Below are 13774 nucleotides of genomic sequence, written 5' to 3'. Positions count from 1 at the left end.
TTCATCTATTGCTTCTTACAATTCCTTCTTTTGTGTTTTTAATTGTTAAAACATGCTTATTATATCTTATCCACCTAAGGATCTCCAGGCAAGATCTAATTCTGCTGTTTGTTGTCTCTGCTGTCTTTTGCTCATGGTGGATGATTTCCTTGTGTTTTCTGTCTGTATATGTGAACTCATCTCCAGAGAGCTTGGGTTGAGGTGGTCTTTTCAGAAATACATTGAGAACTTTTACTCAGTGCCCCTTAAGCAGCACTGGTCTAAGGCCATTTTTGATGTTTATTTCTTAGCTTGGAGCTTCCTGGGTCACATGGGTAGTAAGGCATGTGGCCAGGCCATCTTATAGATTTGTATAAAACTGTGTGGTCAGCTGGGCATGGTGGCTCACGCCTGTAATCTCAGCACTTTGGGAGGCCGAAGCGGGTGGATCACGAGGTCAGGAGATCGAGACCATCCCGGCTAACATGGTGAAACCCCGTCTCTACTAAAAAATACAAAAAATTAGCTGGGTGTGGTGGCAGACGCCTGTAGTCCCAGCTACTTGGGAGGCTGAGGCAAGAGACTGGAGTGACCCTGGGAGGCGGAGCTTGCAGTGAGCCAAGATCATGCCACTGCACTCCAGCCTGGGCGACAGAGCGAGACTCCATCTCAAAAACAACAACAACAACAAAAACAAAACAAAACAAAAAAACTGTGTGGTCAAGGATAAATCCCACACATTCTAAAGAAAAGTTTGGTCCTTCCCTGGCTCCTGGGATTAACTTCTAAACTCTTGGAGCATCCTGGCTGGAGTGTCTATGTGGGTCATGCCAGATAGTCTATGCTAACTGATATGGTTGGGCTGTGTCCCCACCCAAATCTCATCTTGAATTGTAGTTCCCATAACCCCACTTGTCGTGGGCGGTACTCAGTGGGAGGTAACTGAACCATGGGGGCGGCTACCTCCATGCTGTTCTCGTGGTAGTGAGTTCTCACGAGATCTGATGGTTTTATAAGGGGCTTTCCCCCCTTTGCTCAGCACTTCTCGCTCCTGCTGCCTGGTGAAGAGGTGGCTTCCGCCAGGATTATAAATTTCCCGGGGCCTCCCCAGCCATGCAGAACTGTGAGTCAATTAAACCTCTTTTCTTTATAATTTACCCGGTCTTGGGTATTTCTTCATAGCAGCATGAGAATGGACTAATAACACTCACAACGTGACTTAGGGTTGGAACTTGGGCCACGTGGCATCAGCTTGATCTGTGCAGGGGCTGGAGGCTAAGAAAAGCCATGCAGACAGTCAGCCAGGTGTATGTAGTTGACTCTCTATAAACACCCTGGCTAGAAAGGCTTGGGTCAGCTTCTCTAGTTGGCAGCACTTTGTGTGTTTTGCCACACATCCCTGCTGGGAGAAATAAAGGCTGTCCACACAACCCCACTGGGAGAGGACACTTGCAGGCTTCCACCCGATCTCTCCTGGATCCAGCCCTATGCACCTCTTCCTTTTGTTAAGTTTTTTGTTTTTTTGTTTTTTTTTTTTTAAACAGAGTCTTGCTCTGTTGCCCAGGCTGGAATGCAATGGTGCAATCTCAGCTCACTGCAACCTCCGCCTCCCAGGTTCAAGCAATTCTCTTGCCTCAGCCTCCTGAGTAGCTGGGACTACAGGTGTGTGCCACCACACCCAGCTAATTTTATATTTTTAGTAGAGATGGGGTTTCACCATATTGGCCAGGCTGGTCTTGAATTCCTGATTTCAAGTGATCCACCTGCCTCGGCCTCCCAAAGTGCTGGGATTACAGGCATGAGCCACCACACCCAACTCTGCTGATTTTTAACTGTACCCTTCTACTGTAATAAACCATGCCACTGTGATAAACCATAACTGTGAGTATGACAGCTTTGCTGAGCTCTGTGAGTCCTTCTGGCAAACCATTGTGCCTGAGGATACCCTTGGACATCAACACACAGGGAGGCTTTTCTTTTCTTTCCTTTTTTTTTTCTTTTTTTGAGACAAAGTCTAGCCCTATTGCCCAGGCTGTGGAGTGCAGTGGTACGATCTTGGCTCACCTGGCTAATTTTTGTATTTTTTTTAGGGACGGGGTCTTGCCATGTTGCCCAGGCTGGTCTTGAACTCCTGACCTCAAATGATCCGCCTGCCTCGGCCTCCCAAAGTGCTGGGATTACAGGCGTGAGACGCTGCGCCCGGCCACAGGGAGGCTTTTCTTGGCATCCAGAACCAGGTGGAGAATCGGAGGCAGAGCGTGGACAGTCTACCCTTTTGTGGTATCATATCCTGGGCTTCAGGGAGCTTGGCTCTGTGTGGGTTTTTCCCTGAGGGCCGCTCCACTGCATAACTCTGGGGCCTCATTTGCATCCTGGTCTAGGTAATGGTGCCCCCCTGGAGTTGTGCAAGGACGGCCTGACTGGTTAAGGGAACCACTACCTCCCTGCCTTCCCGGTGCCGTATCCCCCACTCCCGATAAGTCATGGGGCAGTTTTCCTGGGATTAGGATCCCTGCCTGCTTTATATTTGCTGGCAGCTGGTTTGATTTTCTGTCCTTCTAGAGAACCCTGACTAATACAGGTCCATGAAGGACATTTTGAAAACAGCACGAAGACCACTCTGCATCACACCCACCTTGTTTCCTGATCTTCTGAGACCAGAGCAGACCTGTGGAGGAGAGACGGAGACTGGGCGTTATTTGCTTATTTTTGGGAGCCTGGGCATTTTCCCTTTTTTTTCTTTAACTTATTTTATTTTTATTTATTTATTATTATTAAGATACAGGGTCTTGGCTGGGTGCAGTGGCTCATGCCTATAATCCCAGCACTTTGGGAGGCTGAGGTGGGTGGATCACTTGAGGTCAGGAGTTCGAGACCAGCCTGGCCAACATGGTAAAACCCTGTCTCTACTAAAAATACAAAAATTAGCCGGGTGTGGTGGTGGGTGCCTGTAATCCCAGCTACTCGGGAGGCTGAGGCAGGAGAATCGCTTGAACCCGGGAGGTGGAGGTTGCAGTGAGCCAAGATCGCACCATTGCACTCTGGCCCCTGGGCGACAAGAGTGAAAATCTGTCTTAAAAAAAAAAAAAAGATACAGGGTCTTGTTATGTTGCCCAGGCTGGAGGGCAGTGGTGCAATCATGGCTCACTGCAGCTTCCAGCTCCGGGCTCAAGTGATCCTCCCACCTCAGCCTCCCAAGTAGCTGGGACTACAAGGTATACACCATCATGCCTGGCTAACTTTTAAACTTTTTGTAGAGATGGAGTCTCAATATGTTGCCCAAGTTGGTCTCGAACTCCTGACCTCAAATGGTCCTCCTGCTTTGGCCTCCGAAAGTGCTGGGATTACAGGCGTGAGCCACAGTGCCCATTCTTGGGCATTTTCTACCTGTTCGTGGAGGCTGTAAGCCCTATGAGGACCGACACTGCTGTATCTGGTACAAAACAGATGTCAGCGTGCATCTGCTGCGTAACAAATGAGCCCAAACAGACAGTTTTGAGGAAATTGGCCAAGGCCCTTCACTAACATAAAATGAAGCCAATAATGTTGCTCAGGGTCTACTGGATTGGGGGAGTCTGAATCTACCTGCTGGGACCTGGACAAAGGTCACCTTTCATCATTATGATAACATTGAGATTGCGATAATATGAGAACATCATGATAACTTTTTTTTTTTTTTTGAGACAGGGTCTTGCTCTGTTGCCCAGGCTGGAGTGCAGTCATAGCTTGCTGTAGCCTTGACCTCCTGGGCTCCAGCCATCTGCCTGCCTCACCCTTCTGAGTAGCTGGACTAGAGGTGTACATCACCACACCTGGATGATATTTATTTATTTATTTATTTTTGAGACAGAATCTCATTCTGTCGCCAGGCTGGAGTGCAGTGGTCTGATCTCGGCTCACTGCAACCTCCGCCTCCCAGGTTCAAGTGATTCTCCTGCCTCAGCCTTCCAAGTAGGTGGGACTACAGGCACGAGCCACCATGCCCAGCTAATTTTTGTATTTTTAGAAGAGATGGGGTTTCACCATGTTGGCCAGGCTGGTCTCGATCTCTTGGCCTTGTGATCGGCCCACCTCAGCCTCCCAAACTACTGGGATTACAGGCGTGAGCCACCACACCCGGCCGATAATTTTTATTTTTATTTTATTTGTTTATTTATTTTTTTGAGATGGAGTCTCACTTTGTCGCCGAGTGCAGTGGTACTATCTCGGCTCACTGCAACCTCTGCCCCCTGGGTTCAAGCGAATCTCCTGCCTCGGCCTCCCAAGTAGCTGGGATTACAGATGTGAGCCACCATGTCCAGCTAATTTTTGTATTTTTAGTAGAGATGAGGTTTCACCATGCTGGCCAGGCTGGTCTCGAACTCCTGACCTCATGTGATCTGCCCACCTCGGCCTCCCAAAGTGCTGGGATTACAGGCGTGAGCCACCATGGCCGGCCACTTAGTTCCATTTTCTGTCCCTGAACAAGGACCCATCTTCCTCTCTAGCCTCCCCCAAGGGAGTAGGCAGCCTCCCGTGACTGTCAGCTCTCTGCCCATGGTCCCCTGCACACCTACCTGTTTTCCACTGGTGCCACCTCTGGCTTCTCTTCAGACCTGGGCAGCACAAACTCCGGCTGGGGCCTCGCGCTGTGGACAGAGAGAACGAGGTGACAAGGGTGACTAGCCCAGCCAGGCCAAGGGGTGGGCTCTCAGCTAGTACTGGCCTCTCTGGTTTTCCTGTCCCCTGGGACCTGTTTTCCAAACCAGTGAGATGTTCCCTGCCTTTGCTATTTGAGAAAACTTCTGGGACCAAGACTCTGTCTTATTTGCCTCTGTTTCCCTCAAAGCTGGCATTGGACCTGGCATGATAAAGGCTGTTTTTTTTTGTTTTTTTTTTTGAGACAGGATCTTGCTCTGTTGCCCAGGCTGGAGTGCAATGGTACAATCATGGCTCACTGCAGCCTCAACTTCCTGGGCTCAAGCAGTCGTCCCGATTCAGTCTCCCTGCAAGTAGCTGAACTACAGGCGCATGCCACCACACCTGGCTAATTTATTTTTTTTTTTTTTTGAGACAGAGTCTTGCTCTGTCACCCACGCTGGAGTGCAGTGGCATGATCTCGGCTCACTGCAACCTCCGCCTCCCAGGTTCAAGTGATTCTCCTGGCTCAGCCTCCCAAGTAGCTGGGATTACAGGCACGCACCACCACGCCTGGCTAATTTTTGTATTTTTGGTAGAGACGGAGTTACGCCATGTTGTCCAGGTTGTTCTCCAACTCCTGACCTCACACAATCCTCCTGCCTCAGCCTCCCAAAGTGCTGGGATTACAGCCTCTCAAAGTGCTGGGTGAGCCACCGCGCCCGTCTTGACTTTTATGCTTTATGGAGCGTGAAGTCTGTGCTCAACCTTTTTTGCCAAGGGTGCCTCATCTTGCACAATAACCTCCAAGGTGGTTGTTAGCTTTTTATTTGCTTAATGTTACCTTGCAGCTCAATGCGGGAGCCAGTATTTGAACCCAGGTCTGAGTTTAAAGTCCTTGCCAGAAGGGCAGCGTCTTGAGCCCTGCACAGGACAATGGTCCCTGCTGCCCAGAAGTCACCGGGTTGCCCTAACTGAGAGTTCAGCTCAGCCCCCCGCTGCCCCGACCCAGCCCCAGCAGAAACCACTCTGCACACACCTCTCCCTCCTGGCCTTCAGTCTTTCCTCTTCGTATCTGAAAGAAAGAAAAAGATGTCAGACACAACCTTCCTTTCCCCTGAGATATACTTTTTGGGGAAATCCCTTTCCTTTTCAAGCAGAGAAACAAGCTCTCTTTTTTCTTTCTTTTCTTCTTCTTCTTCTTCCTTTTTTTTTTTTTTTTTTTTTTTTTTGAGATGGAGTCTTGCACTGTCGCCCAAGCTGGAGTGCAGTGGTGCGATCTTGGCTCACTGCAACCTCCACCTCCCCGGTTTGAGTGATTCTGCTGCCTCAGCCTCCGGAGTAGCTGGGACTTACAGGCACCTGCTACCACGCCCAGCTAATTTTTTGTATTTTTAGTACAGACGGGGTTTCCCTATGTTGGCCTGGCTGGTCTCAAACTCCTGACCTCATGATCCACCCACCTCGGCCTCCCAAAGTGCTGGGATTACAGGCGCGAACCACCGCGCCCGGCCTCTTCTCTTTTTTTTAGACAGGTTCTCATTCTGTCATAGCCCAGACTGGAGTGCAGTGGCATGAACTCACTTGTAGCCTCCAACTCCTGGGCTCAAGCGATCCTCTGGCCTCAGCCTCCCAAAGTGCTGGGATTACAGGCATGAGCCACCACACCTGGCCCATAGATGCATTTTTGATTATAAATGTTTATGTGTTGGCTGAGCACGGTGGCTCACGCCTATAATCCCAGAACTTTGGGAGGCCGAGGCGGGCAGATCACTGAGTTCAGGAGACTGAGACCATCCTGGCCAACATGGTGAAACCCTATCTCTACTAAAAATACAAAAATTAGCTGGGCGTGGTGGCAGGTGCCTGTAATCCCAGCTATTCGGGAGGCTGAGGCACGAGAATCCCTTGAACGTAGAAGCTGGAGGATATGGTGAGCCGAGATTGCGCCATTGCGTTCCAGCGTAGGCAACAGAGTGAGACTCTGTCTAAAAAAAAAAACCAGAAAAACCCCAACAAAACAACAACAACAAAAAACAGGCTGGGTGCGATGGCTCACGCCTGTAATCCCAGCACTTTGGGAGGCTGAGGTGGGGAGTTTGAGACCAGCCAGGCCAACATGGTGAAACCCCATCTCTACTAAAAATACAAAAAAATTATCTGGGTGTGGTGGTGGGCGCCTGTAGTCCCAGCTACTCGGGAGGCTGAGGCAGGAGAGTTGCTTGAACCCGGGAGGTGGAGGTTGCAGCGAGCCAAGATAGCGCCACTGCACTCCAGCCTGGGTGACAGAGTGAGACTCCGTCTCAAAAAAGCAAAGCAAAGCAAAACAAAACAAAACAGTATGGTGGTTCCTCAAAAAAACAGAATTATCAGCAATTCCACTTTTGGGTATATACTCATTAGAATTGAAAGTAGGGTCTTACAGAGATATTTGTACATCTACGGTCATAGGTGAGTAGCATATAAATAACATGACTATTCACAAGAGCCAAAAGGTGGAAACAACCCAATTGTCCATTGATGGACAAATGGATTGACAAAATGTGGTCCATTCACGCAATGGAATATTATTCAGCCATGAAAAGGAAGGACATTCTGACACAGGCTACAATGTGGATGCACCTTGAGGATGTCACGCTCAGTGAGAGACGTCAGACACAAAAGGACAAATCCTGTGTGGATCCATTCCTAGGAGGTCCCTAGAGTCGTCAGACTCCCAGAGACAGAAAGTAGGATGGGGGCTGCCAGGGGTTGGGATGTGGAATGGGGAGTGAGTGTTTCATGGAGACAGAGTTTCAGTTTGGGAAGATGAGAACGTTCTGGAGAGGGCCGGGTGCAGTGGCTCATGCCTGTAATCCCAGCACTTTGTGAGGCCGAGCCAGGCAGATCAACTGAGGTCAGGAGTTCAAGACCAGCCTGGCCAACATGACAAAACTCCGTCTCTACTAAAAATACAAAAATCGGCCAGGCGTGGTGGCTCACGCCTGTAATCCCAGCACTTTGGGAGGCTGAGGTGGGCGGATCACCTGAGGTCGGGAGTTCGAGACCAGCCTGGGCAACAAGAGTTAAACTCCATCTCAAAAAAAAAAAAAAAAAAAATTAGCTGGGCATGGTGGTGGGTGCCTTAATCCCAGCTACTGGGGAGGCTGAGGCAGGAGAATCACTTGAACCCAGGAGGTGGAGGTTGCAGTGACCCGAGATCGTGCCACTGCACTCCAGCCTGGGCAACAGAGCAAGACTCCATCTCAAAAAAAAAAAAAAGAAAGGTCTGGAGAGGATGGTGGTGATGGCTGCACAAATATGCGAATGTGCTTTTAGAAATGGCTAAGATAGGCCGGGCGCAGTGGCTCACGCCTGTAATCCCAGCACTTTGGGAGGCCGAGGCCGGTAGATCATCTGAGGTCAGGGGTTTGAGACCAGCTTGACGAACATGGAGAAACCCTGTCTCTACTAAAAATACAAAAAAAAAAAAAAAAATTAGCCAGGCATGGCGGCTCATGCCTGTAATCCCAGCTAGTTGGGAGGCTGAGGCAGGAGAATCGCTTGAACCCGGGAGGCGGAGGTTGTGGTGAGCCGAGATGGCGCCATTGCACTCCAGCCTGGGCAACAAGAGTGAAACTCCTTCTCAAAAAATAAATAAATAAATAAAATTAAAAAAGGAATGGCTAAGATGGGAAGTTCTATGTTACGTGTATTTTACCACAATAAAAAAATGTACGTTTAAGGAGATTTTTGCAGCATGAACCTAGGGGAGGTGCCGATGATATGACATTCAGTGAAAAACAACAGGACTTGAAGCTGCCCATCCCTTCCCCAAGCTCCGGGGGGTCCCTGAGGGGCTCCAGGAAATAAAATGGGTGGGTTCTAGTTCCTCCCTTCCAAGTCTGCGTTTCCCCTCATTGCTGGCTCCTGGTAGCCAGGGGGACCCGGTGGGGGGGTGTTGGGGGTGACAGGGTTTGACTGTATCTCCACCCAAATCTTTTTTTTTTTTTCTTGAGACGGAGTTTCACTCTTGTTGCCCAGGCTGGAGTGCAGTGGTGCGATCTCGGCTCACCACAACCTCTGCCTCCCAGGTTCAAGCGATTCTCCTGCCTCAGCCTCCTCAGTATCTGGGATTACAGGCATGCACCACCACACCTGGCTAATTTTTGTATTTTTAGGAGAGACAGGGTTTCACCATCTTGGCCAGGCTAGTCTCGAACTCCTGACCTCAAGTGATCTGCCTGTCTCAGCCTCTCAAAATGCTGGGATTACAGTGCTGGGATTATAGGTGTGAGCCACCTTGCCTGGTCTCTTCACCCAAATCTCATCTTGAATTGTAGCTCCCATAATTCCCTCCTGTTGTGGGAGTGACCTGGTGGGAGGTCACTGAATCATGGGGGCAGGTCTTTCCTGTGCTATTCTCGCGACAGTGAGTAAGTCTCATGAGATCTGATGGTTTTATAAAGGGGAATTTGCCTGTACAAATTTCCTTCTCTTCTCTGCCGCCATGGGAGACGTGCCTTTTGCCTTCCACCGTGATTGGGAGGCGTTGCCAGCCACATGGAATTGTGAGTCCGTTAGCCCTTTTTTTTTTTTTTTGCGATGGAGTCTCGCTCTGTGGCCCAGGCTGGAGTGCAGTGGCGCGATCTCAGCTTACTGCAACCTCCGCCTCCGGGGTTCACGCCATTCTCCTGCCTCAGCCTCCTGAGTAGCTGGGACTACAGGCGCCCGCCACCACGCCCGGCTAATTTTTTGTATTTTTAGTAGAGACGGGGTTTCACCATGTTAGCCAGGATGGTCTCGATCCCCTGACCTCGTGATCCGCCCGCCTCAGCCTCCCAAAGTGCTGGGATTACAGGCAGGAGCCACCGCGCCCGGCCCCTTAAACCTCTTTTGTAAATTGCCCTGTCTCAGGTGTGTCTTTATCAGCAGCACGAAAACAGACTAATACGGCGGGGTGGACTGTGGGGCCACTCACTGCAGGACGCAGTCTGGGATCTGGACGTGTTCCATAGGGATGAGTTGCTCCAGGTCTTCCAAGCTGTGCACGTACTGGATCTTGTTGATGAACTTGACGCTGGCGGGGGGAGAAGGAGGGAGAGGTCTGAAATGCAACCCATGGGGTGGGGGTTACCTAGGTCCAGACAGAGCCATGGCGACAGGGATCCCCACAGGACCCCACTCCAGGATGCCCCAGTGCAGACGACGACACCTCCCTCCCGCCCGATGACAGCCTTAATTATCTTGCACCCCATGCATGGAGTGGAGACCCCGGGTCTGCGCCGAGGCCCTTGCAAGCAGGGCCATGCACCTGACATGGGTCCCTGCAATGAGGATCTTGTTGGAAGGAAGTCAGGAGGTGGGGAGATTGTCTTAGACTCTACAGGCTGTTTTCCCATCATCTCTAAAAGTTGCTCCTCTGTGTTAATTTTTCCCAGGGATGCTTTCTCTCCATGTCACCGCACAGGACGGCACAGCCAACACTCAGCTGGGCACAAGAAGGGGGCACACGGGGCTGCCCATTGATTCTCTGTTATTGTTATTTTTTGACACAGAGTCTTGCTCTTCACCCAGGCTGGAGTGCAGTGGTGTGATCTCGGCTCACTGCCACCTCCGCCTCCCCGGTTCAAGCGATTTTCCCTGCCTCAGCCTCCCGAGTAGCTGGGACTACAGGCATGCACCACCACTCTCGGCTAATTTTGTATTTTTAATGGAGATGGGGTTTCATCATGTTGGCCAGGCTAGTCTCCAACTCCTGACCTCATGTGATCTGCCTGCCTCTAACTCCCAAAGTGCTGGGATTACAGTCATGAGCTACCCTGCCTGGCCCAATTCTCTGTTTTTCAGGGATGAATGGTTCTTTCCCTTCTTTCCCTTCCAATCCTGAATTCTGGCCATCTGATACCATGTGGTGTTTCATCACCAGCACTTCATGGTATTTTTTTTTTAAGAGACAGAGTCTCACTCTGTCACCCAGGCTGGAGTGCAGTGGTGTAATCATGGCTCACTACAGCCTCGACCTCCTGGGCTCAAGTGATCCTCCTCCCTCAGCCTCTGAGTAGCTGGGATCACAGGTGCGCGCCACCAGGCCTGGCTAATTAAAAAAAATTTTTTTTTGTAGAGATGGAGGTCTTGCTATGTTGCCCAGACTGGTCTTCAACTCCTGGCCTCAAGCGATCCTCCTGCCTCGGTCTCCCAAAGTGCTGGGATTACAAGCCTGGGTCACCACACCTGGCCGTATTTAAAAAAAAATTTTTTTCACTTTGGGAGGCCAAGGCAGGCGGATCACGAAGTCAGGAGATCGAGACCATCCTGGCTAACACGATGAAACCCCATCTCTACTAAAAATACAAAAAGTTAGCTGGGCCTGGTGGCGGGCGCCTGTAGTCCCAGCTGCTCGGGAGGCTGAGGCAGAATAGCGTGAACCCGGGAGGCGGAGCTTGCAGTGAGCTGAGATCGCGCCACTGCACTCCAGCCTGGGCGACAGAGTGAGACTCCGTCTGAAAAAAAAAAAAATTTTTTTTTGTAGAGACAGGGTCTCGCTATGTCACCCAGGCTGGTCTCGAACTCCCGGGCTCAAGCGATCCTCTCATCTCGACCTTCCAAAGTGTTGGGATTACAGGTGTGAGCCATGGCGACCGGTGAAGAGTGACAGAATTATTGGGTTCGTGCAAGAGTGATTGCAGTTTTTGTAATGAAAATATGGCAAGAACCTCAATTATTTTTGCACCATCCTAATATCTACATTAAAGGCAAAGGTAGTCTATGTTACTGAATTCTGGAATATAGAGGAGCAAATGCAATTATCTTAGACTGAAATGCGTGTTTACCGTTTTGCCTGTTGATTCATTATTAGCTAAAATGATCCATAATTAGTGTATTCCTCATCTCATTTCGCTAATATGCAAATAAGCCCCTTCAGGGTACTTAGCAGTCCTTGAAAACAGCATGTTTAAAGAGTCTTCCTTGAAAATCGGGCCTGCTGTGAATGTGTCCTGTTGTTCAAGGGAAAGTGAAGCCCTCGTCTCTTTCGCTCATCCCAGATTTGTAACTGGGAACGTGAACATTAGGAATCTTTATTCAATTCAATGTTTTGCATTAGATTAAATTAAATTTGCATGACATTTTATTGGATTGAATAGGGCATTTAACATGCCTAATTTTATTTCACTTGATCTGTTTTACTATATGTTTAATATAGTAACTATATATGATATACATTATAGAATATATGTAGTTTTAAATTTTAAATTTATTAGTCATATTATTTATTTATTTATACATACATATATATATATTTTATTTTTAGAGACAGGGTTGTTTTGCTCTGTCTCCCAGGCTGGAGTGCAGTGGAGTGATCATAGCTCACTGCAGCCTCTACCTCCTGGGCTCAAGTGATCCTCCTGCCTCAGCCTCCTGAGTAGCTGGGACTACAGGCATGTGATGCCATGCATGACTGATTTTCTTTTGAGACAGGGTCTCACTCTGTCATCCAGGCTGGAGTACAGTGGCTCGATCACGGCTCATTGCAGCCTTGATCTCCTGGGCTCAAGCCATCCTCCCACGTGAGCCTCCCAAGTAGCTGAAACTACAGGTGTGCACCACCACGTCCTGCTAATTTTTGTATTTTTTGTAGAGATGGGGGTTTTGCTATGTTGCTCAGGCTGGCCTCAAACGATCCTCCCACCTCAGCCTTCTGAGTAGCTGGGATTACAGGTGTCAGCCACTGTGCCTGGCTGTGTGCAATTTAAAACTGTTTAAAGCAATAATATGTATTCATCATAGAGAAGCTGGAACATGCACATCAAACACACACATGGATGCACACACACACAGATGCACACACGCACACACGTGCACACATGCACACACAAATGCATGCATACACACACGCACACACGCACACTGAGGCCACTGGACTTGGGTTGCAGCCTCCCCGTCTCACCTGATGAAAGGGCGAGAGATGGCCAGCACAGTCCGAATGAACCACGAGGGGTGGACGATGATCAAGGACTTCAGGTTTTTCCGCAACCTGTGTGGGGCCGCAAAGGAAGCAAGATGGGCTCCTGGGGCGAGCCCTGGGGAGGGAGGAGCTGGGTGGGACGGGAGAGCCACAAGCAAGCATTCGTCACTCTGCTCATTCCACGTGTGGTCTCCAGGTACCTGTCAAATCCCTGCCCCCATCCAAGACATGGGGGTCCTATGGTGGGATAAAGACACACCCTTTGAGTCCCTAAGACCCTCAGGTGGATGAGGTAGGTAGAGACCCCATGGTGCAGAGCAGGTGAACCAGGTTGGTAGTTATTTGAGCAGCCAAGATTGTATTTTCACCACCTAATGCCCTAGGAGGGACCAGCCTGTCCTTGGAGCCTCCCTCCACTAACCTGGGTGCAAGGATGGATTGGCTGGCTCAATTTTAATGTCACTCTGAGGCTATTTACAATAACTCAGGGGTGGAAGCAACCCATGTCCATCAAGAGATGAATGGAATGGACAAACCAAATGTGGTATGTCCATACAGTGGAATATTATGCAGCCATGAAAAGGAAGGAGGCTCTGACACAGGCTACAATGTGGATGCACCCTGAGGACATCACACTCAGTGAGGAAAGCCAGACACAAAAGGACAAATCCTGTGTGATTCCAGTCCTAGGAGGTCCCTAGAGTCATCAGATTTACAGAGACAGAAAGTAGGATGGGGGGTGCCGGAGCCTGGGGAGAAGGAATAGGGAGTGAGTGTTTCATGGGGACAGAGTCTCGCTCTGTTGCCCAGGCTGAAGTGCAGTGGCATGATCTCGGCTCACTGCAACCTCCACCTCCTGGGTTCAAGTGATTCTCCTGCCTCAGCTTCCCAAGTAGCTGGGACTACAGGCATGCGCCACCACGCCCAGCTAATTTTTGAATTTTTTTAGTAGAGATGGGGTTTCACTATATGTTGGCCGGGCTGGTCTTGAACTCCTGACCTCAGGTGATCCACCCACCTTGGCCTCCCAAAGTGCTGGGATTAGAGGTGTGAGCCCCCTTGCCCGGCCTAAAAGTTTTTCTGTAGAGACAGCGTCTTGCTGCGTTGCCCAGGCTGGTCTCAAACTCCTGGGCTCAAGGGACCTTCCCACCTCAGCCTCCCGAAGTGCTGGGATTCCAGGTGTGAGCCACCATGTCCAGCCCCCTGTGTGATTTTCATGCCCCCACTGTGCTT

At 49.9% G+C, this 13774-nt stretch overlaps 1 protein-coding gene and 1 pseudogene across 2 annotated transcripts in view, besides 1 other annotated feature; one reads left to right on the top strand and one right to left on the bottom strand.

Annotated features, from left to right (window-relative positions):
• The window catches only part of ATCAY (ATCAY kinesin light chain interacting caytaxin), a 47398-nt gene that overhangs the window by 4670 nt on the left and 28954 nt on the right, over window positions 1-13774 (bottom strand). For both annotated transcript variants that reach the window (NM_033064.5, XM_047439578.1), the window contains 5 exons: window positions 12524-12610; window positions 9557-9655; window positions 5636-5671; window positions 4536-4607; window positions 2615-2647 (listed from right to left, as the gene is read on the bottom strand). In NM_033064.5, the coding sequence (NP_149053.1) occupies window positions 2615-2647; window positions 4536-4607; window positions 5636-5671; window positions 9557-9655; window positions 12524-12610 (327 nt within the window). The remainder of the gene's footprint in view (window positions 1-2614; window positions 2648-4535; window positions 4608-5635; window positions 5672-9556; window positions 9656-12523; window positions 12611-13774) is intronic.
• RN7SL202P (RNA, 7SL, cytoplasmic 202, pseudogene) lies at window positions 2907-3168 on the top strand (annotated as a pseudogene).
• Window positions 10940-11139: a silencer, noted in NCBI's record as "fragment chr19:3912272-3912471 (GRCh37/hg19 assembly coordinates)". NCBI's record gives its function as "represses an EF-1alpha promoter that drives an FKBP-Casp9 reporter gene in an ReSE screen in K562 erythroleukemia cells {active_cell/tissue: K562}" and the evidence as "EXISTENCE:reporter gene assay evidence [ECO:0000049][PMID:32094911]".

This window comes from Homo sapiens, chromosome 19 (genome assembly GCF_000001405.40).
Source record: "Homo sapiens chromosome 19, GRCh38.p14 Primary Assembly".
NCBI classification, from domain to species: Eukaryota; Metazoa; Chordata; class Mammalia; order Primates; family Hominidae; genus Homo; species Homo sapiens.
The sequence above is the reverse complement of the archived record's forward strand: the minus strand, read 5'-3'. Positions and strand labels throughout refer to the sequence as shown.